Source organism: Homo sapiens, chromosome 10, assembly GCF_000001405.40.
Source record: "Homo sapiens chromosome 10, GRCh38.p14 Primary Assembly".
In the NCBI taxonomy this organism is placed as follows: domain Eukaryota; kingdom Metazoa; phylum Chordata; class Mammalia; order Primates; family Hominidae; genus Homo; species Homo sapiens.
In genome coordinates, this window is record NC_000010.11 from 37,949,573 (window position 1) to 37,976,659 (window position 27,087).

Here is a 27,087-nt window from a genome sequence, read left to right on the forward strand (position 1 = left end):
TCAATGAAAGTCTTTATTAGGAAGGGGAAGTAAGACGCTGGCAGGTTTAGATTGTAGCAGCATATGACAATTACATGAAGTGCAGGCAATAATTTTATAGATTACTAGTAATGTAGCTGATGGAATTGGGTATTGTAAGTTTTTTGTTATTGGGTTACGTTAGCTAAGTATGACTTACCAATGGTATCTTATGGGATAGAAAGAAAATTATAAAATGATACAGGGAAAACTGGCCATTGATTTGGGAGAAAACAAAGGAATACTGTGGGGCAGTATCAATGAACAATTCGACTTAATTTAGACAATGTTTATTTCATATGTTTACTGCTACATTCCATCAAGAAATTTCTTGTTTTGATGTTATGACAATTTAGCAAGTAAAAAACACATTTCTTTGAAAAAAATACTTCTAAGCTCAGGCTCTTAACATATAAATATAATGCACAAAATAAATATACTGCAAAAAACCACCCACCTACAAATTGCTGTATGCATCATTTCTGAAACATGAAATACTTATAAAAGCGTAACTCTACATTGCTTTTATTTTCAGCTCTAAGTAACAGAAAAACTTACTTTGTAAAGTGCTAGATCTTAGGCTCAAGGGCATGTGGTGTCTGCTACAACTACTCAACTCTGCTGGGGTAGTGCAAAGACAGCCACAGGTCAAACATAAATAGGTGTTTTTTGTTTGTATTCATGTTTTCAAAACTTTATTTATGGACACTGAAATTTGAATATCATATAATTTTCATGTGTCACAATATTCTTTGATTCTTTCAACCATTTAGAAATATAAAACCATTCTTAGCTTGCAGGATACAAAAATGGGTAGTGGGCCAGATCTGTCTGATGGACTGTCATTTGTCAAACCCTGACTTAGTGTAGTCAGGATCTGCCCCTAAATCACTTGTAGGAAAACAAACAAACAACAAACAACCAAATCAAGGCACTGGCAGCAAGAAGGTGGGGAATGAATGTTGGGTAGCCAACATTTTTTTTTTTTTTGCAGCGTAATTCACAAAATACAAATAATGATGATAACCTCTAACATATAGCTCTTGTGTCTCAGACACTATTCTAAGTGCTTTGAAAATGTTAACTCATTTAGACCTCAAAGCAATCCTAAGATGTTGTCACTATCACTACTCTTTTATGGGATGGGAACTGAGGCACAGAGATATTAAGTAGCATGCCCCATGCTGGAATCGGGGCCCAGGCAGCAGGAGCCCAGAGTCCACACCCTTAACTATGCCATGTTGCTTCTATGAGGAAGAAAAAGTTGGTGAAGAACATTTAGGACTCTCACACTAAATACAAATGCAGATAGCTCTGCTCCCTGCTCACACATCAACAGTAAGATACATAATATTTCTTACATTGCACTATTTGTTTTCATTGTGGAGATTGTAATAAATACTACTGTTTTTAGCTGTTTAAAAACAGCTCAGGCTTTTGCTATATATAAATGTGTCCCTAATGCAAAACTTGACTGACATTTGAAAATTTTACAAAAACATTTTAACTTATTTTTGAAGGATTAGTTATTACCACTGTCTATATCCATTTACAAACACAAAAAAGGATAAAAAGATGCCTTATAATTTAAAAGGAATATTACACTTACAATACAAATATTAACAACCAGAGTCACTACTGAGACTTAATGTGCAACATCTTCATACACATAATAGTTACTGAACTAAGATTATATTATTTCGCTATGTACCATTATGGATGGATTCCACATGCACGCTGAACATCCGCAAGTTACATGTTATAGCACACTCACATACGCACAAAATCCTATATGCTAACAGACATTTAATGTATGTTTAATGATGTTGCCTGATAACTTGTGCTTTTTAAAAGCTTCATATATGTAGACATTTGCAGGTTTCCTTTTAAAATAGAGCAATCTCGGCATCAGATCTGCAACATGATTTGTAGTATAACTGTTTCCCTCAGTACAAATTATTTGAATTTTTATTGAACACCTTCCAAATATTTAAAATATCTATCCAAGTACCAGTGATCTGAAATTGAATGAAACATCAATTCTTAATAAAGGCTTCTATATCTACCAGTGTCTTTGCAGTTATCCCTTTGAATTCTCTAGTACATGAGCTCCAATTGTGTAAAGAGATTTCTAGATACTCAAGGAGCTTCTCATTTGTGAGCTTTTGGATGTCTACAGCTGGCTGCCCTGACAGAAAATGTCTTGACATTCGTTTTACTTACAGGATTTTTCTCCTGTGTGACTTCTATGTTGCAAAACAAAAGTATGACTTCTGAAAGGTTTCCTTCCTGTTTTACAATTTGCATGACTTCTGCCATCTATATTATCTAATATTTAGAAAAGCCTAAAATATGATAAAATTTTCTCCCAAATAAATGTACAGAATCTCTCTATGTATTTGCTGATACACAGAGAGAGCAAAGATTGTAGCTGAAAATTTCCCTCTATTGATGCGATTCATAAGGTGTACCTCTTGTGTGAATTATCTGATTGTTTTGAAGGATTAATTCAGTCAAGAGAATTTCCCAACTCATCTTACTTCTCAGCATTCCTCTTCTTTGTGTGTGTCTTCTGATGTGCAGTGAGTTGTGACTTCTGGATAAAGGTTTCCCCACACTCCTGACACTCATAGGGCTTCTCCCCTGTGTGTTTTCTCTGATGTATAATAAAATGTGACTTCTGAGAAAAGGACTTCCCACATTCCTTGCATGCATAGGGCTTCTCTCCTGTGTGAGTCCTTTGATGTAATCTGAGGACTGAATTCACAGCAAAAGATTTGCCACATTCTGTGCATTCATAGGGCTTCTCCCCTGTGTGTTTTCTCTGATGTTTAGTGAGGTCTGATTTATAGTAAAATGTTTTCCCACATTTATTACATTCAAAGGGTTTCTCCCCTGTGTGAGTTCGCTGATGTACTGTGAGGGCTGACTTCTGGTAGAAGCATTTCCTACATTCCTTACATTCATAGGGTTTCTCTCCTGTGTGACTTCTCTGATGAGTTTTGAGGTGTGAATTCCTAGAGAAGAATTTCCCACATTCCTTACATTTATAGGGTTTCTCCCCTGTGTGCATTCTCTGATGTACTGTGAGGTGTGACTTCTGGGAAAAGGCTTTCCCACACTCCTTACACTCATAGGGTTTCTCCCCTGTGTGTGTTTTCTGATGTACCATGAGGTATGCCTTCACATAGAAGAACTTCCCACATTCAGTACATTCAAAAGGTTTCTCCCCTGTGTGTGTTTTCTGATGTTCTGTGAGATGTGGTTTCTGGTAGAAGGATTTTTCACACTGATTACATTCATAGGGTTTCTCTCCTGCATGGGTTCTCAGATGTCTACTGAGAGATGATAGGTGGTAAAATATTTTCTTACATTCTTTACACTCATAGGTTTTATCTCTCGTGTGAATTTTCTGATGTCTTATGAGGTCTTCATTTTTAGAGAAAGATTTCCCACATTTATCACAGTCATAGGATTTGCCCTTTGAGTGAGTATGCTGATGTACTATGAGGGCAGACTTCTGGCAGAAGAACTTCCCACATTCCTTACATTCACAGGCTTTCTCTGTGGTATGAGTTTTCTGATGTTTTGTGAGTTCTCCATTCCTAGACAGAAAGTTCCACATTCATTAATGTGTAAGACTTTTAAGGCTTTTTGTTCCCCCTGCTCCACTGGGCGTATTTTCCAAGTACCTCTGAGGACCGATTTCTAGAGATGTTCCCATATTTACTGGATCCATAGGGTTTCTCCACTGTGAGCATTCTCTGACCTGCACTGTAGTTTAACATTTGGTAAGGTGAATCTGCATTTGCATTCTATTCACAGGGTCTCTCAATTGCCTGCATTCTATTTTGTGTAATAGAGACTCCCTTTCATTACTTAATTCAGAAGAGTAAAAAGACCACTTCAAAGTTTCAATCTCCCGATCCTGCACAAGGTCTCTATGAAAAGGGGCAGTCCCATTTGGATTATATTCCTTGGGATTTGCTCTGCAGTGTTAGTTTTCTCACGTTTAGTATTAACTAGTGCCCTCCCATTTCTAGTAACTCCTTTAAGACTCTTGCTTACAAATCTTCTATCTTAAACATTAATTCTTGAACTTGCCTTGAATTTCCAGCTTGGCTTTCCTGGTATCTTGCTTCTAGATCATGAATGCTCCATAGGTCTTCTACAAGGGAACCAAAAATGTAATACTTTATAAATACTACACATTAATATTGTCATAGCATTGATTCTTAGGCTTCAGGCCAATTTCTCATAATGAAAGAACCTCAAATGCAAATTTCCTCTAGCCCATTGTTTTGGGAAAAAAACCTAAAACAAACACTGAAAACTGCTGTCACACACAGAAGGAGGATTCTACTTGTAGACCCATGTACTCTGACATTTTTACAAATGTGACCATAAGAGTTTGGAGGTGAAAGTTAAAGACAAAAAAAGAACCGGGAGAGGAGAACATAGGACATTCGAAGTGTTGCTGAACGGGAGTGTGGGAAGTATAGAGAATACTGTGAGCCCCTTAAGGACCATGAACAGTAAGCAAGTTAAGAAAAACTACTGGACAACAGTGTCCCCTGGAATACATGGAAAAGATTAAACTGAAAGAAGGAGCTGAAGTATAGGTCTTTATTCCCTCAAACCTAGATTACTGTGCTAGGATTCCTAGCATTTAGCAGACAAACTTCTACTTTATTTCCTCTTCATCCATCCACAGCAATCTAGGTGTCAATTACTAAAGTGACTTTTTCAGAACATCAGTTTCCTCATGCTTAGAGGAAGAGTCCTGTAGCTTGGGCTTTCACTCTCCATCTAGTTGGCTTTATTTTCAGGACAGGAAGACAGAGGACCACATATATCCAAAAGGAAGGATTTTCTTAAAAGCATTGGGATAAGCCATCTATACAAGGATGAATTCCTAGTTGTACCACCAGAGATTTTCAATCCTGAACTCATCCTGACCATCAAATCCTGCACTTCTAACGCACTTGTTACTCATGACTCAACACTAGTCTTGAATTTCATTTTCATATCTTGCTTCCTCCATCTCTGCTTCCAATTTACTACAGGATCTTTAAAGGTCCAATTATTGAACATCATTCTAGAATCTTTAGTGACCTTCATATTTATGCATCTTTAAATGCATGAAAGCAAGTGAAAGATTATCAGCAGATGCTTGGGGTTGGAATTTCATAGCAATGGTGGGGAATACATAAGAAAAGTCACTTCATAGTGACTTATGCGACGTTAACTCAGGAACACATGAAATAAGATCATATGTATAAGCCAGGAACGGTGGCTCATGCCTGTAATCCCGGCACTTTGAGAGGCTGAGGTGGGTGGATCACCTGAGGTCAGGAGTTCGAGACCAGCCTGACCAACATGGTGAAACCCCACCTCTACTAAAAATACAAAAATTAGCTGGATCTGGTTGTGGGCACCTGTAATCCCAGCTACTCAAGAGGCTGAGGCAGGAGAATCACTTGAACTCAGGAGGTGGAGGTTGCAGTGAGCTGAGATCGCACCACTGCATGCCAGCCTGCGCAACAGAGTGAGACTCCATATAAAAAAAAAAAAAATCTTATGTTTGGAAAACATTTAAGAGCATAGTAAAATGGAGATTAACAGGTGTTTGGGGGCCACAAGGAGAAATAAGTTGCATAGGCAAGAGAGGGCCAGACTAGTTCCTGACAAAAAATTCATTTAAATGAATATTACTAATACCTCCTTACCCTTGTAAGACTTTTATTTTGTCTAAAGGACTTAATACTGAGTCAGTATTAAGTATACCATGCAGGCTTCTGGCAATGTACATCTGCTGCATTACACAACTACTGTGGGAATTTAAATCAACAATTTTTGTTTTGACCCTAACAAGGAAGGAAGTAGAATAAGCAGAACTATCTTACAAGAAGGTAAAAATATGGGATCAGAATATAAATAGGGCAAAGATGCTGGAGAGGTCAATTTTAGGAATCCTTATCATAAAAACCAATGCATTGGCTTTAAGAATGGATGAGCTTCTACAGGAGTTAATAAAAGGAACAGAGCAGAAAGTAGAAAGTGTCTGTTGTTAATTATTTTATATATTTATTATTTCTTTTTTTCATGAACATGAGTCTCACTGTTGTCCAGGCTGGAGTGCAGTGGGGCGATCTTGGCTCACTGTAACCACTGCTTCCTGGGTTTAAGCAATTCTCATGCCTAAGCCTCAGCCTCCCGAATAGCTGGGACTACAGGTGTGCACCACCAAGCCCGGCTAATTTTTGTATTTTTAGTAGAGACAGGGTTTCACCATGTTGGCCAGGCTGGTCTCGAACTCGGGCCTCAAGTGATCCACCCACTTTGGCCTCCCAAAGTGCTGGGATTACAGGCATGAGCCGCCACTCCCAGCCAGTCTCTTGTTAATTAATATTCATTCTTTCAACAAATATCTAGCGAGCAACTAATATGTACTAGGCATTGTTCCTGATACTGGCAACACATCTGTGCACAAGTTAGAAAATACGTGACAAACATTTAAGAAGGCAGGATGAGATTGTCTTAGTGTTATCCAAATAAGTTTAGGGAGGATAAGCAGTGCTTTGTGGGAAGGATAAACACTGTATAGCAGGAAGTAGCAACTCCAAAATGAAAGAATTGATGAGCAGCATACCGATTTTTAATCTGAGCTCAGAGTTTAAAGAAAAAATGGGAAGTTAAAAGTGGTGCCAAAATAACTGAGGTATTTTATTGTTAATAAAAGGAAGGCGATGCCATTTAAAAACGTTATAAGTCAGATTTACAAACACTTTATAGTTGCATACTCTAATGGCAGGGAGTAACTGGCGATTCTAGACAAAAAGACAAAGTCTTACAAGGGTAAGGAGAGATAAGAGTTTGTATACAGGAAAGAGAAGTAAATCTATTTAAAACATGTCTAGCAAAGAAGAGAATTTAAGTGGAGAGAACAAAAATTGGAGGTGTGAATTAGGTTTTTTTACACGTGCAAATAAAGTGTCCTTAATCGCTTCCAAAACTACAGGGCATTTATAAAGAGACTGCTGAGGCCGGGCACGGTGACTCACACCTGTAATCCTAGCACTTTGGGAGGCCGAGGTGGGCAGATCACCTGAGGTTGGGAGTTCAAGACCAGCCTGACCAACATGGAGAAACCCCATCTCTACTAAAAGTACCAAATTAGCCAGGCTGGTGGTACATGCCTGTAATCCCAGCTACTCGGGAGGCTGAGGGAGGAGAATTGCTTGAACCTGGGAGGTGGAGGTTGCAGTGAGCTGAGATGGCAACATTGGACTCCAGCCTGGACAACAAGAGTGAAACTCTGTTTCAAAAAAAAAAAAAAAAAAAGTGAGAGATTGCCGAAAAGTACTTCAGAAGGCAAGAGGCACCAACTACTCACCAGTAACATGGGATATAATTTCTTCTAACTCACCAGGGAAGCCCCGATGTGGAAATTCTACTTCTAATATCCATGGCTCTTTTCCTTGCTTCAACTTGAAGACTGCATTTGGCTTATTCACATGGTAACCTATGAATGGAAAATATCAAGGAAATGATACAAATTGCTTGGAATTTAGGGACTGTGAAAGATGAGGAAGTGGAGTTTCAGGATAATAATGAAGGTTCCAGTTAGGCTTGGCAAATTTAGATTCTTTCAGCGGGGAGAGAGGGACACAAATATTTTTTCTAGTACCCAAAATGGATTTATTAACTTCGACCTCTGAATCATAGATAATGTCAATCATTCAACCCTATAGGGACATTTTATACTCCAGTAACTGAGAAGATAGATGCAAACTACTGGGATTTACACCTGGGGAAGTTTTCCTCACCCACTGAGACAAGGTGACTATAGTTTTCCAGCATCACATCCTTATACAGAGTCCTCTGAGCAGGGGTCAGTAACTTCCATTCTTCCTTGGTGAATTCCACAATAACATCCTTTAATGTCACGGGTCCCTGGAATAACATACTTCAGTTCAATTTGAAGTAACCAGAATAGATTGCATACCATTGAAAAGACATGTGAACTAGCTCTTAGTGTACTAACTGCAAAGTTCATTCTGGAGAGTTAGGATATTTGCCATGCTGTACCCTGCTTTATTCATAGAAGGAATATTTGTTCATTACATATTTACTGAGCTCCCACTCCATGCCTGGAACTCTGCTGAAGATACAAAGATGAAGAAAAAAAATGAGTGTCATATGCCACATAATGACATTTCAGTAATGACAAATTCCATATATGATGATGATCCTATAAAAAAATATAGTATTTTTATTGTCTGTTTTCTATGTTTAGATACACAAATTCTTACCATTGTGTTACAAGTTGCCTACAGTGTTCAGTACAGTAACACACTGTACAGGTTTGTAGCCTAGAAGCAATGGGCTACACCACATAGCCTAGGTGTGCAGTCAGCTGTACCATCTAGGCTTGTGTAAGGACACTCTATGATGTTTGCACGATGAAGTCACCTAATGATATGTTTCTCATAACATATCCCTGTCACTAAGTGACACATGACTCTATTCCTGATATCGAGGAGCTTATATTTTTGCCAGGGAGACAAAGGTGAAAATGCTAAAATACAGTATGTGAAGCAGGTGCCATTACAGAAACATGTATACAACATGAGATGGTCACAAATGGGGGTAATTATTTGCATTTCATATTATCATGTTAGATTTTATTAGGTGGTCAAACTGACTAACTTTAGGAATAAAGAAAACACAACTGGCAAAGGCATGGATGCATGAGAAATGGTAAGTTTAGGAAACCACATATAATTTGGTAGGTATGATACCTATTGTGGGTACATAATGGTAGGTATATACCATAGGTTGGTAGGTATGTACTTACGGTAAGGCATAGGACCAAGATTAGTTAGAAGGTTACAGTGAAAAGTCAAGGGACAGGACAAGAAGAAATTCTGAATCTGTCTTTTGGACCAGTAAAATATATTTTACATACACACTTAACAAATACATCTCTGCTTATTAATATAATACATACCTTTGCATGTATTAATGTTTATTAAGAATTAAGGAGGTGGGTGTGGTGGCTCAGGCCTGTAACACCAGCTACTTGAGAGGGTGATATGAGAGAATCGCATGAACCTGGGAAGTTAAGGCTGCAGTGAGACACAGTAAGACTCTATCAAAAAAAAAAAAATTAGGCTGGGTACAGTGGCCCACGCCTGTAATCCCACCACTTTTGGAGGCCGAAGCAGGTGGATAACCTGAAGGCAGGAGTTTGAGACCAGCCTGGCCAACACGGCAAATCCCCATCTCTACTAAAAAATACAAAAATTAGCCGGGCGTGGTGGCACACACCTGTAGTCCCAGATACTCAGGAAGCTGAGCCAAGAGAATGGCTTGAACCTGGGAGGCAGAGGTTGCAGTAAGCCAAGATCGTGCCACTGAACTCCAGCTTGGGTGACAGAGTGAAACTCCATCTCAAAAATAATAATAAATTTAACAAGTTTGTTTTTGTTTATATAAGACAAAACACAAATAGATATTCTGTCATTTCATACTATGTGAAATGTCTTATATATCTCTGGGATGCTCACCATTCACTGTGTAGATGAAAATATAGAAACCAGGAGCCACTGAAGAGATGTGTCAAGTAAGCACTGGAGTTATAGGGGTAAATGAGTGGTATAGGAGAAAATTTTAATATAGAGGTGGCAAATGGCACATTAGAAAAATAAGAAAAACATTTATATGAAAGCAACAGCAGTGGGGGAAAGAAGTATAACACAACTTTGTAATTAATTGGAAATTAGTTACTAACCACTGGGAGAAAGGGGGAGGGCAGCTCCCATAGTGTCTGTATGTCTCGCTCGTGGGTACAGTTATAGTGCCAATTATTTTCATTCCTTCACTTTTATTGGTAGAACTGTTTAAGGCTATGAAATTTCCTCTAATTATTGCTTTATTTATACTCCATGAAATCTGAAAGGCAGTATTTTTACTTGCAGAACATCTTGGCTGGATATAAATTCTTGGTTCATTTTTTTTTTCTTTTTTCTTTTGAGATGGAGTCTGGCTCTGTCTCCCAGGCTGGAGTGCAATGGTGCAATCTCGGCTCACTGCAACCTCCGCCTCCCAGGTTCATGCCATTCTCCTGCCTCAGCCTCCTGAGTAGCTGGGACTATAGGCGCCCGCCACCACGCCTGGCTAATTTTTGTATTTTTAGTAGAGATGCGGTTTCAGCATGTTGGCCAGGCTGGTCTCGAACTCCTGACCTCAGGTAATCTGCCCACCTTGGCCTCCCAAAGTGCTGGGATTACCAGCCTGAGCCACCATGCCCAACCGGTTTTTTTGTTGTTGTTGTTTTAAAACGGAGTCTCGCTCTGTCACCCAGGCTGGAGTGCAGGGGCGCGATCTTAGCTCACTGCAAGCTCTGCCTCCCGGGTTCACACCATTCTCCTGGCTCAGCCTCCCGAGTAGCTGGGACTATAGATGCCCGCCACCATGCTCGGCTAATTTTTTATAAACTAACATTATTGTGTGGCAACCAGGAAGTCTGTAAATGAAAACAGGAATACAAGGAAAAGGGTAAGTTGGGCAGGAGTTAATGAGTTGAATTTTGTTCATTCTGGGCTTAAAGTGACTGTGGAACATAAAGCTGGAATTGTCCATTTTTGCAGATACACATATGAGTAAGTTTCCACAAACAGAATTTTCAAATATATAAAAAATAGAGTTCTAGAAGAGCCCAAAAAGGAAGCTGTGGGGGCCGGGTGTGGTGGCTCACGCCTGTAATCCCAGCACTTCGGGAGGCTGAGGCGGGCGGATCACGAGGTCAGGAGATCGAGACCATCCTGGCTAACACAGTGAGACCCCGTCTCTACTAAAAATACAAAAAAAAAAAAAAAATTAGCCGGGCGTGGTGATGGGCGCCTGTAATCCCAGCTACTCGGGAGGCTGAGGCAGGAGAATGACGTGAACCCAGGAGGTGGAGGTTGGAGTGAGCTGAGATCACACCACTGCACTCCTGCCTGGGTGACCGAGCAAGACTCCATCTCAAAAAAAAAAAAAAAAAAAAACAAAGAAGCTGTGGGAACACCAGTATCCGAGATAATGGCAGGAGACTAGGCCCAGACCATGGAGCCTGAGAGAACTTCTCTAAACATAAGAGTAAGCCAGGAGGAGTATCTAGGAAACCAAAGAAAGGGAGACTTACAAATAAGGGACAGCTGTAGTTCAAAATCCAAATGTAAAGAGTCCAAATTAGCATAACCACACACAAGCACAGCAAAGGAGTGAAAACTGTAATAAGTAAGCAGGCCTTTTGAGAAATGTTGGAAATATCTAGAATTCCTAAGAGCAGATAAGAGAATCCAGCTCTTGGACACACATCCTAACAAGAGCTCATGTAAACTTCTATGCTCAGAGTCAAAGGGCTGGGGTTTGTTAAGGACAGAAGGATGACTGATAGGAAAATTAATTAAAGACTCCTCACTTAAAAAACAACAACAACAAAAACCAAAGAGCATCCAGTATAAACCAAGAGCTGATGAAAAGACCCTACCACATAATGCTACCAGGGTCAATTGGGCAACATGATTACTTCACCAGGGTCCCTAAATATGGGCACAATACAAAAAGAGAAACACAAGATTGTGTTATATACACACATGGACATTTTATTCGTTGAAATACATCTGTATTTTTTTAAAGCAACACTTCTATTTCTGTGAAAACATACAAGTACTAGTTTCTTAAATGACAGCAATTCTATTTCAGCAATTAAGAGACTACCTAAGAGGGTAAGGACAAAACTGACATATGACTTCTCATATGTAGAACCAAATGTTAAAAGACAAAGAAAAAATGCCCACAAAGGATAAAGGTTTTGAACCTAGAATTCCATGCCCTGCCAAATTTTTCATTCAAGGATGATAAAAAGAGATGTTTTCATAAATACAAAAATGTTAAAAGCATACAAACGATGCACCATATTTGCAAGGCATTCTAGAATATACTTAAAAGAAACTACAAAAAAAAAATCACATGGCAAATCAGATATAAAAGCTAATAGGGCCAGGTGTGGTGGCTCATGCCTGTAATCCCAGCACTTTGGGAGGCCGAGGCAGGCAGATCACCTGAGGTCGGGAGTTCGAGACCAGCCTGACCAACATGGAAAAACCCCGTCTCTATTAAAAATACAAAATTAGCCAGGCGTGGTGGCTCATGCCTGTAATCCCAGCTACTCAGGAGGCTGAGGCAGAAGAAGCACTTGAACCTGGGATGCGGATGTTGTGGTGAGCCGAGATCATGGCATTGCACTCCAGCCTGAGCAACAAAGATTGAAACTCCATCTCAAAAAAAAAAAAAAAAAAAAAACCTAACAGATGGCCAGGTGCAATGGCTCATGCCTGTAATCCCAGCACTTTGGGAGGCTGAGGCAGGTGGATCATGAGGTCAGGAGTTCAAGACCAGCCTGGTCAACATGGTGAAACCCCATCTCTACTAAAAATACAAAAAATTAGCAGGGCATGGTGGTAGGCTGAGTAGCTTTTAATCCCAGCTACTCAGGAGGCTGAGGCAGAGAATTGCTTGAATCCAGGAGGCAGAGGTTGCAGTGAGCCAAGATTGTGCCACTGCACTCCAGCCTGGGCGAGAGAGCGAGACTTCCATCTCAAAAAAAAAAAAAAAGCTAACGGATATATAAGAATAAGAACTTAATTCTCATATAGCCTTAACAGGAAACTAGAAAATTTAAAACGGACTGCTTACAGAAGAAGTGAGAAGGAAAAGACTATTTTGTATACTAAACTGTCCTTCAAAGATACTTCTAAATATGTTAACAAAGTGCTCACATCTTTTCATCAAATATTCACTGAAAGACCATTTTCTGGGCCAGAAAAATATCTTAAACTGAAAGAATTGAAATCTACCAAATACATTCTCTGAACACAGTAGACAAACTAGAATCAGTAACAGAAACTTATCTGGAATGTCATCAAATACTTGAAAATAATAGGTGAGCACTTTGTTTAATGTTATTAGAAAATAACATTTGAAGTTGGTTCTCTGAAAAAACTAAGAAAGCTGATAAACCTATATCCAGAATGACCAAGATAAAAAATACATGTTAACAATATCAAAAATGAAAAGGGGAATAGTTACAATAGGCCCTACAAACAGTAAAAGGATAATAAAAGAATACTAAGAACCAGTCTATATGCATAAATTTTACAACTTAGATGAAATGGATTAATTCTTTGAAAGAAGATAACTATCAAAACTCACTCAGGAAGAAATATCTAAGATAAATAATATTACCTAGTATCAATTATATTAAATAAACTGAATCTGTAGTTAAAAACCTTTCAACACGAGTGATTTCCTGAGAAATGGTGACTTAGGGAGCTCTAAGAATTGGTCCCTCCACTGAGGCAACCATTAAAGCTGACAAAAACTGATAGAATCAAACTTTTTGGAACTCTAGAATCTTTTTTTTTTTTTAAACCATCAACCAGTGGAGTACTTTTTTTTTCTTTTCTATTTATTTATTTATTTATTTATTTTTTGAGACAGAGTCTTGCTCTGTCACCCAGGCTGGAGCGTAACTGTGCAATCTCAGCTCACTGCAACTACAACCTCTGCCTCCCGGGTTCAAGCACTTCCCCCGCCCCAGGCTCCCAAGTAGCTGGGATTACAGGTGCCCACCACCACATCCAGCTAATTTTTGTATTTTTAGTAGAGATGGGATTTCACATGTTGGCCAGGCTAGTCTAGAACTCCTGACCTTAGGAGATCCACTTGCCTCAACCTCCCAAAGTGCTGGGATTATAGGCGAGAGCCACTGTGCCCAGCCTCAGTGGAGTACTTAATAAAGAAAGAGGCTGCTAAATTTTGGGGAGAAAATGTGTGGCACTTTTTTCTTACTGGCCTACTGATACAGTTTGGATGTGTGTCCCCTCCAAATTTCATGTTGAAATATAATCCCCAGTGTGGGAGTTGGGGACTGGTAGGAGGTATTTGGGTCATGGGGGTGTATCTCTTATGGATGGTTTAGCACCATTCCCTTGATAATGAGTGAGTTCTGATTCGGTTCACATGAGATCTGGTTGTTTAAAAGAGTCTGGCACCAGGCGTGGTGGCTCACACTTGTAATCCCAGCACTTTGGGAGGCCAAAGCAGGTGGATAACCTGAGGTCAGGAGTTTGAGACCAGCCTGGCCAACATGGCGAAACCCTGTCTCTACTAAAAATACAAAAATTAGGCGGGTGTGGTGGTCCACGCCTGTAGTCTCAACTACTTGGGAAGCTGAGGGAGGAGAATCGCTTCAACCTGGGAGGCAGAGGTTGCCGTGAGCCAAGATCATGCCACTGCACTCCAGCCTGGGTAACAGAGTGAGACTCTACCTCAAAAAATAAATAAGCAAATAAATAAAGAGTCTAGGACCTACCCCTTATCTCTCTCTCTTGCTCCCACTGTCACTATGTGATGTACTGGCTCCTGCTTCACTTTCTGCCCTAAGTAAAAGCTCCCTGAGGCCTCACCAGAAGCTGAGCAGATGCCAGTGCCATGCTTCCTGTACAGCCTGCATAACCATGAGCCAATTAAACCTCTTTTCTTTATAAATGACCCAGCCTCAGGTATTTCTGTGTAGCAATGCAAAAAACAACTAACACAAAATAGGTACTGAGGAGTAGAGCATTGCTATAAAGATACCTGAAAATATAGAAGCAGCTTTGGAACTGAGTAACAAGCAGAGGTTGGAAGAATTTGGAGGGCTCAGAAGAAGACACTAAGCTGAGGGAATGTTTGAAACTTCTAAGAGACGGATTAAATGGTCGTGACCAAAATGCTGATAGTGACATGGACAGTGAAGGCTAAGCTGATGAGGTCTCAGAAGAAAATGAGGAATGTATTGGAAACCGGAGTATAGGTCACCCATGTTTTGTCCTGGCACAGAGCTTGGCTGCATGTCCTACGGATCTGTGGAAGACTGAACTTAAGACTGATGACCTAGGGTATCTGGCAGAAGAAATTTCTAAGCAGCAAAGCATTCAAGATGTGGCCTGACTGCTCCTAATAGCCTTTGATCAAATATAGGAGCAAAGAAATGACTTAAAGTTGGAACTGATATTTAAAAGGGAATCAAAGCATAAAGTCTGGAAAGTTTACAGCCTGGTCCTGTGGTACAGAAAGAATCCAAGCCCAAGCAGGCTGTGGAGCAACCACTTGCTAGAGAGATTAGCATGACTCAAATGGAGCCAAGTAACAATCCAAGACAATGGGGAAAAGGCCTTAAAGGCATTTCAGAGATCTTTGGGACTCTGCCTTCCATCACAGGCCCAGAGGCCTAGGAGGAATGGTTTCAGGGGCCAGGCCTAAGGCAATGCAGCTCTGTGCAGCCTTGTGACACTGTTCCCCACATCTCAGCTGCTCTGGTTCCAGCTTCAGCTCAAGGGGGTCCAGGTACAGCTTGAGCCAAAGCTCAGGAGGGCACAATCTGTAATCCTTCATGGTTTCTATCTAGTGTTAAGTCTGCAGATGCTGAGAATGCAAGCATGAAGGAGGCTTGGCAGCTTCCCCCTAGATTTCAGAGGATGTACTGGAAAGCCTTGGTGTCCAGGCAGAAGTCTGCCACAGAGATGGAGCCCCCACAGAGAAACTACTAGGGCAATGTTGAGGGGAAATGTGGGGTTGGAGCCTCCACACAGAGCCCCCACTGGGGTACTGCCTAATGGAGCTGTGGGAAGGGGACCACTGCCCTCCATACTTTGGAATGCTAGAGCCACTAGCCACTTGCAACCTCAGCATGGAAAAGCTGAAAGCAGTCAACTCCAGTCATTAAGATTAATCCATTAATCCATTAAGATTAAAGCAGATTTCTTAACAGAAACTGTGAAAGCCAAAAGGCAGTGTGATGACACATTAAAGTGCTGAAAGAAAAGAATTCTATTTCAAGAATTCTTTTCCATCAAGACTATCCATCAATAATGCAGAAGAAATTAAGGCATTACAAGATAAAAGCTAAAGGACTCTGTTTCTAGTAGACCTGCCTTATAAGAAATGCTACAAGCAGTCCTTCAGTCTGAAATGAAAGGACACTAGACAGCAATTCAAGGCCATTTGAAGCTATAAAGAACACAGGTAAAGGTAACTATATAGGTACATAGAAAAGCTGGTATTGTGATATTTTTTAAATTATGTCTCCTCTGTTTGCTTCCTATAGGATTTAAAAGACAAATGCATAAAATAGTAACTATAAATATATGTTAATGGTCATACAACATGCAAAAATATAATTTGTGACAGTAACAACATAAAGGGGGGAGAAACAGCTATATATCAGCAATTTGTATACACTACTGAAGCTAAGTTGGTATCAATTCAAACCAGATTGTTAAAAATTAGAAAAGTTAATTGTAATACTAAGAGTAACCACTAAAAACACCTTAAAACACTCACAAAAGGAAATGAGGAGGAAAGCAAAATGGTACATTAGAAAAAAAATTAAAAAGAAGGCAGTATTGGAGGGTATTAGTGTGTTATCACATTGCTATAAAGAACTACCTAAGGCTTGGCGTGGTGGCTCACTCCTGTAATCCCAGCACCTTGGGAGGCTGAGGTGAGCACATCACTTGAGATCAGGAGTTCAACATGGCCAACATGGTGAAACCCTGTCTGTACTAAAAATACAAAAAATTAGCCAGGCATGGTGGCATGCACCTATAATCCCAGCTACTTGGAAGGCTGAACCACGAGAATCTCTTGAACCCGGGAGGTGGAGGTTGCAGTGAGCCAAGATCGCACCACTGCACTCCAGCCTGGGTGACAGAGCAGGACTCCATCTCAATTAAAAAAAAAAAAAAACTACCTGAGACTGGGTAATTTACAAAGAAAAGAGGTTTAATTGACTCATGGTTCCACAGGCTGCGCAGGAAGCATGGCTGTGTAGGCCTCAGGAAGCTTACAGTCATAGCAGAAGGTGAAGGAGAAGTTGGCACATCTTCACATGGCAGAGCAGGAGATAGAGGGCAAAGGGGGAAGTGCTACACACTTTTACCCAGATCTTGTCAGAACTCACTCACTATCTCAAGAACAGCAAGGGGGAAGTCTGCCCCCATGATCTAATCACCTCCCACCAGGCCCCTCCTCCAACATTGAGGGTTACAATTTCACATGAGATTTGGGTGGGGACACAGAGCCAAACCATATCACGGAGGAATTAAAGGAAAATATATAAAGTATGTTGAAGAAAAATGCCAAGTTGCAGAAGTAAGTCTTTATCAAACATCACTTTAAATAGATTAGACTCACGAGTTAAAGGTGGAGATTGACTGAATGGATATTAAAAACATGATTCAAATATATGCCTTCTAAAATTAAATTTAGATCCAAAGACACAAGTAGGCTGAAAAGAAAGGATGGAAAAAGGCATTTCACGAAAATAGTAGTAACCAAAAGAGAGCTGGCTGGCTATACTAAGATGAGACCTAAAGAAATGAGATGGCATCCTGTATTCATGGACTGGGAGACTTAATATGGTTCAAATGACAATACTACCCAAAGAAATCTACAGATTCAAACCAGTCCCTATCAAACTCCCAATGGCTTTTGCACAGAAATGGAAAAGATTATCCTCCAATTCATACGGAATTGCAAGGGGTCCCCAGTAGCCAAAACAACATTGGGAAAGAAGAATAAAGTCAGAGGACTCACACTTCACAATTTCAAAACTTACTGCAAAGCTGCAGTTATCAAAACAGTGAGGTACTGGCATAAGGACAGACATACAATCTAATGGGATAGAACTGAGTTCAGAAATAAACCCATGTATCTACGACCACATGATTTTCTTCTTTTTTTTTTTTTTCTGAGACAGGGTCTCACTGGCTGGAGTGCAATGGTCCAGTCATGGCTTACTGCAGCCTGGACCTCCCCAGGCTCAGGTGATGCCCCCACCTCAGCCTCCCAAGTATCTGGGACTAAAAGTGCACACCACCCACCTGGCTAATTTTTGTATTTTGCAGAGACAGGGTCTTGTCATGTTGCCCAGGATGGTTTCAAATTCCTGGGCTCAAGAGATCTGCCCACTTCGGTCACCTAAAGTGTTAGGATTACAGGCATGAGCCACCACGTTCAGCCCCAACTGATTTTCAACGAGGCTGTCAAGACCATTCAGTGGGAAAAGAATAGTCTCTTCATCAAATAATACTGGGAAAACTCAATACCCACATGCGTGAGTTAAATGGGAACTCTACCTCACATCATATGCAAAAATCAATTCAAAATGGATCAATGACCTAAATATATGAGTTAAACATGTAGAACTCTTAGAAGAAAACATAGCCTACCTTGAATTTGGCAATGGATTCTTCTATATGACACCAAAAGCACAAACAAAAGAAAAATAAATTTTACTTCATCATAATTTGAAATGTTTGTGCATTATAGAACATTGTCACAATGGAGAAAAGACAACACACAGTCTGGAAAATATTTGCAAATCATCTGAGACAGAGTCTCCCTCTGTTGCCCAGGCTGGAGTGCAGTGGCGCCATCTCAGCTCACCACAACCTCTGCCTCCCGGGTTCGAGCAATTCTCCTGCCTCAGCCTCCCAAGTAGCTGTGACTACAGGCACATGCCATCATGCCTAACTGATTTTTGTATTTTTAACAGACATGGAGTTTCACCGTATTGGCCAGGCCTGTCTCAAACTCCTGACCTCGTGATCCGCCTGCCTCAGCCTCCCAAAGTGTTGAGATTACAGGCATGAGCCACTGCACCCGGCCAATTTTTTTTTTTTTTTTAAGACAGAGTCTTGCTCTGTCACCCAGGCTGGAATGCAGTGGCGCCATCTCGACTCACTGCAACCTCCACCTCCTCGGTTCAAGTGATTCTCCTGCCTCAGCCTCCCAAGTAGCTGGGACTACCTGTGTGCACCACCAAGCCCAGCTAATTTTTGTATTTTTAGTAGAGACAGGGTTTCACCATGTTGACCAGGCTGGTCTGAACTCCTGACCTCAAGTGATCCACCCACCCTGGCCTCCCAAAATGCTGGGATTACAGGCATGAGCCACTATGCCTGGCCATAAAATGTTCTTATAATTCAACAACAAAAAGATAAACAGCCCAGGTAGGAAATGGGCAAAGAACTTGAGTGTACATTTCTCCAAATAACACAACTCACCCTTGAACAACACAGGCTTGGATGCAGATTATTTTCAACCTAACATAGATTGAAAATGTAGTATTTGCAAGATTGGAAACCCACACATATGGAGGGCCAATTTTTTGCACACGTGGGTTCTGAAGGGCTGACTGTAGGACTTGAGTATGTGTGGATTTAAGTACATGCAGGGGTCCTGGAACCAATCACCTGCATATACCAATTGATGACAGTATATACAAATGGCCAAAAAGCACACTAGAAAAAAAATAGCAGAAAAAAGCACAATAGAAGATGTTCAGCATCACTCATCTCTAAAGAAATGCAATGCAAAACCGCAACAATACCACTTCACCCCCCCACCCCAATTATAATGGGCATAATTTTAAAAATGGCAGGTGTTGGGGGTATATGGAGAAACTGAAACCCTTGTACATTGCTAATGGGAATGTAAAACGGTGCAGCTGCTGTGGAAGTTTGGCAGTTCCTCAAAAAGTTAAACATAGAATTGCCATACATCCCAGCAATTCCATTTTTAGGTATATACCCGAAATAATTGAAAATAGGTATCAAATACTTACAGATGAATTTGCATAACAGCATTATTCATAATAACCAAAAAGTGGAAACCACCCAAATGTCTGTCAATGGATGAATGGATAAACAAATTGTGGTGTATATACACAATGGCATTTTAGCCATAAAAAGGAATGATGTACTGATACATGCTTCAAGGTGGATGAACCTGGAAAACATGCTAAGTAAAAGAAGGCAGATACAAAAGGTCACCTAATGTATGATCTCACTTACACGAAATATCTAGACTAGGTAGATCCATAGAGATAGATAACATATTAGTGGTTGCCAGGGGAAAGAGGGAGAGAGAACAGGGAATGACTGCTTAATGGGAATGGGGTTTTCTTTTGGGATGGTGAAAATGTTTTGTAACTAGGTAGAGGTGGTGTTACACAATACTGTGAATGTACTAAATATTAATACCTTACAATTGTATACTTTTAAATGATGAATGTGAATTTCACTTCAATTAAAACAAGTAAACAAAACCTTTGAACAAAGACAACTTCAGGCCTAAATGGTTTCATTGGTGAATTCAATCAAACAATAAGCCAGAAACAATACCAATTATATGTAATTTCTTCCATAAAACCAAGAAAAAATAACCATTCTCGACTCACTTTATAAGGCTCACATGACCCTGAGACCCAAATCTAACAAAAACATCACCAGAAATGACAACTACAGTGGTTGCTGGCACCAGTTTGTATCAGCTCAGAAGAGCTGATGGTTAAGTTTTCAGAATCTGGCTGGCATGTTGTAGCTTGAAATTTGCCATGGTGGGAGTATTTATACCACAGAAATTGGTAAACAGTATAAACCAGATTTCTATCCCAACCCCTAAAATCTGATTATTAAACATTTACTAGTATATTGATCACTGATCAATATTCCTCATGGTGATAGATGCAAAAATCCTCAACAAAATGTTAGCAAATCTAATTCAGCAATATATAAAAATATAAACACATTGTGACCAATTTACCCTGGCAATGCAAGGTTGATTCCACATTTGAACATCAATCAGTGCAGTTCACTATGCTAACAAACTAAAAAAGAAAAACAACATGATTATCCCAAAAAAAGCAGAAGAACATTTGACAAAATTCAAGATCCATTCATGATAAAAACTCTGAACAAACTAGGAAAAGAAGGGAACTTCCTTCATCTGATAAAAGGCATTTATATAAAATCCATAGTTTATACCATCCTTATTATTGAATGGCTAAATTCTTTCCCCCCTAAGGTCAGGTTTCATTATGTACATTCCTTTGATTATGTAAAGGATGATTTTTAAATGAGCAAACAAAACAAAACAAAACAAAATTCAATGTTTTCTACAGTCTACCAGGGCCATACATATTCTAGCTTCCTCTACCTTTTTGATGTTACCTCTTACCATTCTTTCCCTAAGTCATATCTCTCTAGCTTCAATATCCTACATACTGTTTCTGGAACATGATTTGGGGTGTCTGTATTGCTGTTTTTCCTACCCACAATGCTGCTCCCTCAGATTTCTACTTGGCTCTCTCTCTAATTCAGGACTTTCCTCAAACATTATATTTTAGGGTAGCATTGTCCTAATCAACCTATAACTCATTCCTCACTTCTCTGTATCACTTTGTCCTCCTAAATTGCTTGAGTTTGTCTCCAAACATATACCTCAGAAATACTACTCAAATGTTGACATATTGTTATAAAATATATTTTTAAAATCACATTTGTGGCCTGGCGCAGTAGCTCACGCCTGTAATCCCAGCATTTGGGAGGCTAAGGCGGGAGGATCATTTGAGGTCAGGAATTTGAGACCAGCCTGGCCAACATGGGGAAACCCCTTCTCTACTAAAAATACAAAAAATTAGCTGGGCATGGTGGCAGGTGCCTGTAATCCCAGCTACTCATGAGGCTGAGGCAGGAGAATCACTTGAACCTGGGAGACAGAGGCTGCAGTGAGCCAAGATTATACCATTGCACTCCAGCTTGGGCAACAGAGCGAGACTCCATCTCAAAAAAAAAAAAAAAAATTCACATTTGTTAGTATCAATGTCATTGTCTACTTTATGCCAAAAAGGCAGTAACCTATTTAGCATGGTTTTCATGCCACCAGTGCAAGTATCAACAGTGTAAAAGGCAATCTACATCTTAGCACTCTGAGTCTCAACCTCATAGATCCCTTGAGAGGGTCTTGGAGCTCCCAGGGATCTGCAGACCACATTTTGAGAATTGCTGTTTTATTCAAACGGTATTTTGCCTGTAGGTGATTTTTAACTATTTCTACGTTTCTAATTTAGTATATGGGCTCTCGTTCATAAAACTCATTAAACACACACACACACACACACACACACACACACACACACACACAGTGAAACAAAGTTAGGGCTAAGTAAATGACTCACCTGGAACTTGTTCATTTTCTGCTGCTCTTGGGAAAGGCTGAAAACTGCAAAGCCAGAGCAGAAATCATAAGGGACCTTAGCTGGCAGCCCCAGGAATCACCTGTGAGAAATTTCCATACAACATTTTAGTAAAATATATACCTTTGAGAAAATGTCCCTTTGACCCATTAGAAAGCATAGTAAGGACCATGATGAAGTAGCACCCACCTGTCCACTTCTGACTCTGATATTAATGTTGATGAGCCTGGGACATTTTTTAGTGAATCTACACATTTCTTTCCTATTGGTTGCTTTGAAAATTATGTTTCTGTTTTCTGAATAACACAAAAGAATCGAAAACTTAAATATCCAATAATGACTGATTAAATAACATGTATAATATATCCAAAGTATGGAGCCCTTTGCTGACACTAGAAATGATGTTGAAGAGATATATTTATTGGCACATAAAAGGTAATTAAGTTACATATCATAACCATTTTTTTCTATTATAAACCCAAGGTTAGAAAGTCTGAATTTTCAAAGTTCTCAAACATAAGACATTTCTTCTCCCTAAATTGCAGTTTCTCAGAAACCATTTCTCCAAGAACCTTCTTTTGATATAAATATGATATAATGAACTTAAAGACTCAGTTCTACTCTAGGCTCTGCTATTAATAAACTTAGTGATTGTCTTAGTTTCAATGCTTTTGTCTTCAAAATGAGTAGGAATTAGATAATCTTGCACAACCCTTCATGTACCATTCTACTTCTATATATCTTCACCCAGGATCACCAATACAGACAGTACCTGCAATGCACTGTGCCCTCAAAACTTGGGCTGGGCCTAAGGTAAAATTTAATTAGGCCCTGATGAACTCTGACTTGAGAATCTAATCTGCTGACAGTGACACAAATCTACCTTCTAAAATAACAGTTAATCATCATAATTCTCAAACAAGCACTTCATATAGGTAGCAAAAGGCAACTACGTCATAATCCTAAGGTCCTTTTCATAAGCAGCAGAAACCATGCAGGGCATCCAAATTGGAAAGAAAAAATCAAATTATCTTTGTTCACAGATGACATGACCCTATATTTAGAAAAACATAAAGACTCCACCGAAAAAACTGGTAGAACTGATACATGAACTCAGTAAAGCTGCAGGATACAAAATCAACATTAGAAAACCAGTAGCAGGCCAGGCACGGTGGCTCACGCCTGTAATCCCAGCATTTTGGGAGGCCAAGGTGGGTGAATCACCTGAGGTTGGGAGTTCAAGACCAGCCTGACCAACAGGGAGAAAAACCAGTCACTACTAAAAGTACAAAATTAGCCAGGTGTGGTGGCGCATGCCTGTAATCCCAGCTACTCGGGAGGCTGAGGCAGGAGAATTGCTTGAATCCAGGAGGCGGAGGTTGCAGTGAGCCAAGATCATGCCACTGCACTCCAGCCTAGGCAACAAGAGCAAAACTCTATCTCAAAAAAAAAAAAAAATCAGTAGCATTTCCATACACCAACAGTGAACAATCTGAAAAACAAATCAAGAAAGCAATCCCATTTACAACAGCTACCAAAAAAACCCCAACACCTAGGAATAAATTTAACCAAAAATGTAAAAGATCCTATGATTAAAAGTATAAAACAGGCTGGGCACTGTGGCTCACACCTGTAATCCCAACACTTTGGGAGGTGTAGGCAGGTGGATCACCTGAGGTCAGGAGTTCAAAATCAGACTGGCCAATGTGGCAAAACCCTGTCTCCACTAAAAATACAAAAAAAATTACACAGGTATGGTGGTGCACTCCTATAATCCCAGCTACTCGGGAGGTTGAGGCAGGAGAATCGCTTGACCCTGGGAGACAGAGGTTGCAGTGAGCCAAGATTGCACCAAACTGAGCCCTTGTCTCAAAAAAAAAAAAAAAAGAGTATAAAACACTGATGAATGATATTAAAATGGAAAGATATCCCATGCTCATGGACTGGCAGAATTAATATTGTTAAAATGTCCATAGTACTAAAAGCAGTCTACAGATTAAATGCAATCCATATCCAAATACCAATGACATTCTTCACAGAAATAGGAAAAAAAATCCTAAAATTTATATGGAACCACCAAAGACCCCGAGTAGCCAAAGCAATTTTGTGCAAAAAGAACAAAGGTGGAGGCATTGTACTACCAGACTTCAAAATATACTATAAAGCTATAGTAAACAAAACAGTAGGTTACTGGCATAAAAAGAGACACATAGATCAATGAAAAAGAGAATTGAGAAATAAATACATGCATTTATAGCCAATTTCATTTTTGACAAAGGCACTAAGAACATACATTGGAGAAATGACAGTTTCTTCAATAAATGGTGCTGAGAAAACTGGATATCCATACGCAGAAGAATGAAACTAAACCCCTGTCTCTCATCATATGCAAAAATCAAATGATAGTGGATTAAAGAGTTAAATGTATGACCTGAAACTATGAAACTACTTGAAGAAAACATTTGGAAATGCTTCAGAACATTGTTCTCGGCAAAAATTTTTTGGTAAGACCTCAAAAGCACAAGCAACAAAGGCAAAAATAGATGAATGGGATTACATCAAACGAAAAAGTTTCAGCACAGCAAAGTAAGCAATAACAGTGAAAAGACACCCAAAGAATAGGAGAAAATATTTGCAAACTACCCATCTGACAAGGAATTAATAACCAGAATATACAAGGAACTCAACAGTCAGAAAACAAAAAATTTGATTTAAAAAAATTGAGCAAATGATCTGAACAGACATTCCACAATAGAAGACATACAAATGGCCAATAGGTATACGATAAAATCTTCAACATCATTAATCATCAGACAAATGCAAATCAAAACCATAATGGGATATCATTTTACCCCTTAAAACAGCTATTATAAAAAAGGCAAAAAAATAACAAATGCTGGGATATAGAGAAAGGAGAACCCTCATACAACCTTGGTGGCAATGTAAACTAGTACAGCCACTGTGGAAAACAGTATGGAGGTTCCTCAAAAAATTGAAAACAGAATTACCATATGATCTAGCAATCTCACTGCTATATATATATCCAAAAGAAGGGAAATCCGTATATTGAAGATATCTCTGCACTCCCATTTTTATCGCAGCACTATTCACAATAGTCTAGATACAGAATCCACCTAAGTACCCATCAATGCATGAATAGATAATGAAAATTGTGGTATATATACACAATGGAATATTATTCAGACATAAAAAGAAGGAAATTTTGTCATTGCAGCAACAAAGATGGAACTGGAGGGCATTATGTTACATGAAATAAGCCAGGCACAGAAAGACAAATATCATGTTCTCACTCATACGCAGGAGCTAAGATAGTTGATCTCATGAAGATACGATGTAGAATGATGGTTACCAGAGGCTGCGAAGGGAAGTAGGGAGTGAGGAATGAAGAGAGGTTGGTTAATGGGTACAAAAATACAGTTAGGTAGAAGGATTAAGTCCTAGTGTTCAATAGCACAGTATGGTTACAAGTGTTAGCAATAATTTATTAGCTATCAGAATAGCTAGAAGATTTCGAATATTTGCAACACAAAGAAATGATAAATGAGGCGGTGGATATTGTAATTACCCCGATTTGATCATGACACATTGTATGCATATATCAAAATATCACATGTACCCCACAAATATGTACATTATGTACCAAAAAAAAAAACTAAAATAAGCAGCAAAAACCACTTCCAGCTAGCATGGTGCTTACGAAATGCCTAAGCTCAGTTATCAGCCAATGAGAGGCATTATAAGATCACCACCATAAAATGGAGGAACTGATGAACTGCAGTTTTCATCTTTAAAAAAATTTTTTGTCCCATTTCCTGTCTTTAGAAACTAGCCTCTGGGCTGGATGGGATTCCCAGCTTCTCCTGTAAAATGCAAAATTGAGGGCTCAAATTGTGGTTTCAATTTACACGTTTCACAGTCCTCTGAGAAGAGACTAAGGTTGGAGGATGCAGGAAGGCCTTAAATAATTCACCTTTTGACTCAAGTGCTCTGAAGATTCCCCAAGCATTTTTGGAAACAGAACACTACCTGGTTGAGACTGGGTTCAAGTACACCACACAGCTACGTTCTGGTGGTGCTCAAGGGGCAAATGCTGTGCTAAATACAAGTCAAGACTGGATTTTAGTGTGGCAAGGCGCATTAACTCAGAGGAAAAAGTGAGGATTTACATCCCACCTGCTAATACTGTGGGTAAACGGATTTCTCTCTCTGAATCTTTAATAGTCACATTTATTTTAATAGAGATGGTTAAGTCGAAAGGATGGTTACGATGATTAAATGAGCCAATAATGAAAACAGCATGTTTTGTAATAATAGAAGCAGCTCACCTTTATTGAGTCCTGTATCATACTTTACATCTATTACCCTATTCAGTACCCAAAGGCCCCCATCATTTGCCAGATGCGCGTCGAGCCGCACTGGGACCACCTACAGACGCTGGACCAGAGCCCACGTCCCTGCGGCTTTGGAGCGCCGCGTCTGCAGCGGCCAGCGCGCCTCACATGGCGGCTCCGGTCACGTCACACAATGCGGCTGCTCCGGGCGCCCACTGCCCAGCACCGCAGGCCTCCTCTGGCCGCCCCTCAAGCAGGTCGCGCAAACGCCATTCCGGGCAGGGGCGCCAGCGCAGCCAGCCAACCTCCCCACCAGGCGGCTCCCACCCAGGGCCCTCCGCGGAGGCCGCTCCGGGGCCAGGAGGCGGCTTCCAGGCTCGAGACCCCGCCTCCCAGGCCCTGCCCGCCCGCAAAAGCCTTCGACACACCTGCAGGGTCTCGGCCTCTGCTCCCGGCCCGCGCCGGGCCCAGGCCCCGCCCTTTGCGGCCCAGCCCAGACCCGGAGGCACCGGAGTCCTCTCCCCACCCTAGGGCGTAAGACCAAAAAAACGCCAATGCCAGAAAGAAGACACTGCACATGCG

At 40.2% G+C, this 27,087-nt stretch overlaps 1 protein-coding gene across 28 annotated transcripts, besides 2 other annotated features; it reads right to left on the reverse strand.

Moving 5' to 3' along the window:
• Window positions 1-27,075, reverse strand: ZNF25 (zinc finger protein 25). Of its 28 annotated transcripts, none has more exons than NR_138063.2 (9): window positions 26,934-27,075; window positions 22,343-22,449; window positions 22,136-22,235; window positions 19,182-19,418; window positions 7,848-7,974; window positions 7,448-7,543; window positions 7,218-7,336; window positions 4,123-4,186; window positions 1-3,623 (listed from the first exon to the last, which is right to left on the reverse strand). NR_138063.2 is itself a non-coding variant. In NM_001329660.2 (9 exons), the coding sequence occupies exons 6-9, from the start codon at window positions 7,879-7,881 to the stop codon at window positions 2,555-2,557; spliced, it is 1,263 nt and encodes a 420-aa protein (NP_001316589.1). In that variant the 5' UTR covers window positions 7,882-7,974; window positions 18,345-18,367; window positions 19,182-19,418; window positions 20,722-20,785; window positions 22,136-22,235; window positions 26,934-27,075; the 3' UTR covers window positions 1-2,554. The 28 variants fall into 28 exon arrangements, 20 of the variants coding, with proteins under 20 accessions (NP_001316589.1, NP_001316590.1, NP_001316588.1 ...); NM_001329660.2 differs by lacking the exons at window positions 7,218-7,336; window positions 22,343-22,449 and adding exons at window positions 18,345-18,367; window positions 20,722-20,785; NM_001329661.2 differs by lacking the exons at window positions 7,218-7,336; window positions 19,182-19,418 and adding exons at window positions 18,345-18,367; window positions 20,722-20,785.
• Window positions 25,959-26,048: an enhancer, noted in NCBI's record as "active region_3271". NCBI's record gives its function as "activates an Ori minimal core promoter by ATAC-STARR-seq in GM12878 lymphoblastoid cells {active_cell/tissue: GM12878}" and the evidence as "EXISTENCE:reporter gene assay evidence [ECO:0000049][PMID:35858748]".
• Window positions 26,639-27,048: a silencer, noted in NCBI's record as "silent region_2310". NCBI's record gives its function as "represses an Ori minimal core promoter by ATAC-STARR-seq in GM12878 lymphoblastoid cells {active_cell/tissue: GM12878}" and the evidence as "EXISTENCE:reporter gene assay evidence [ECO:0000049][PMID:35858748]".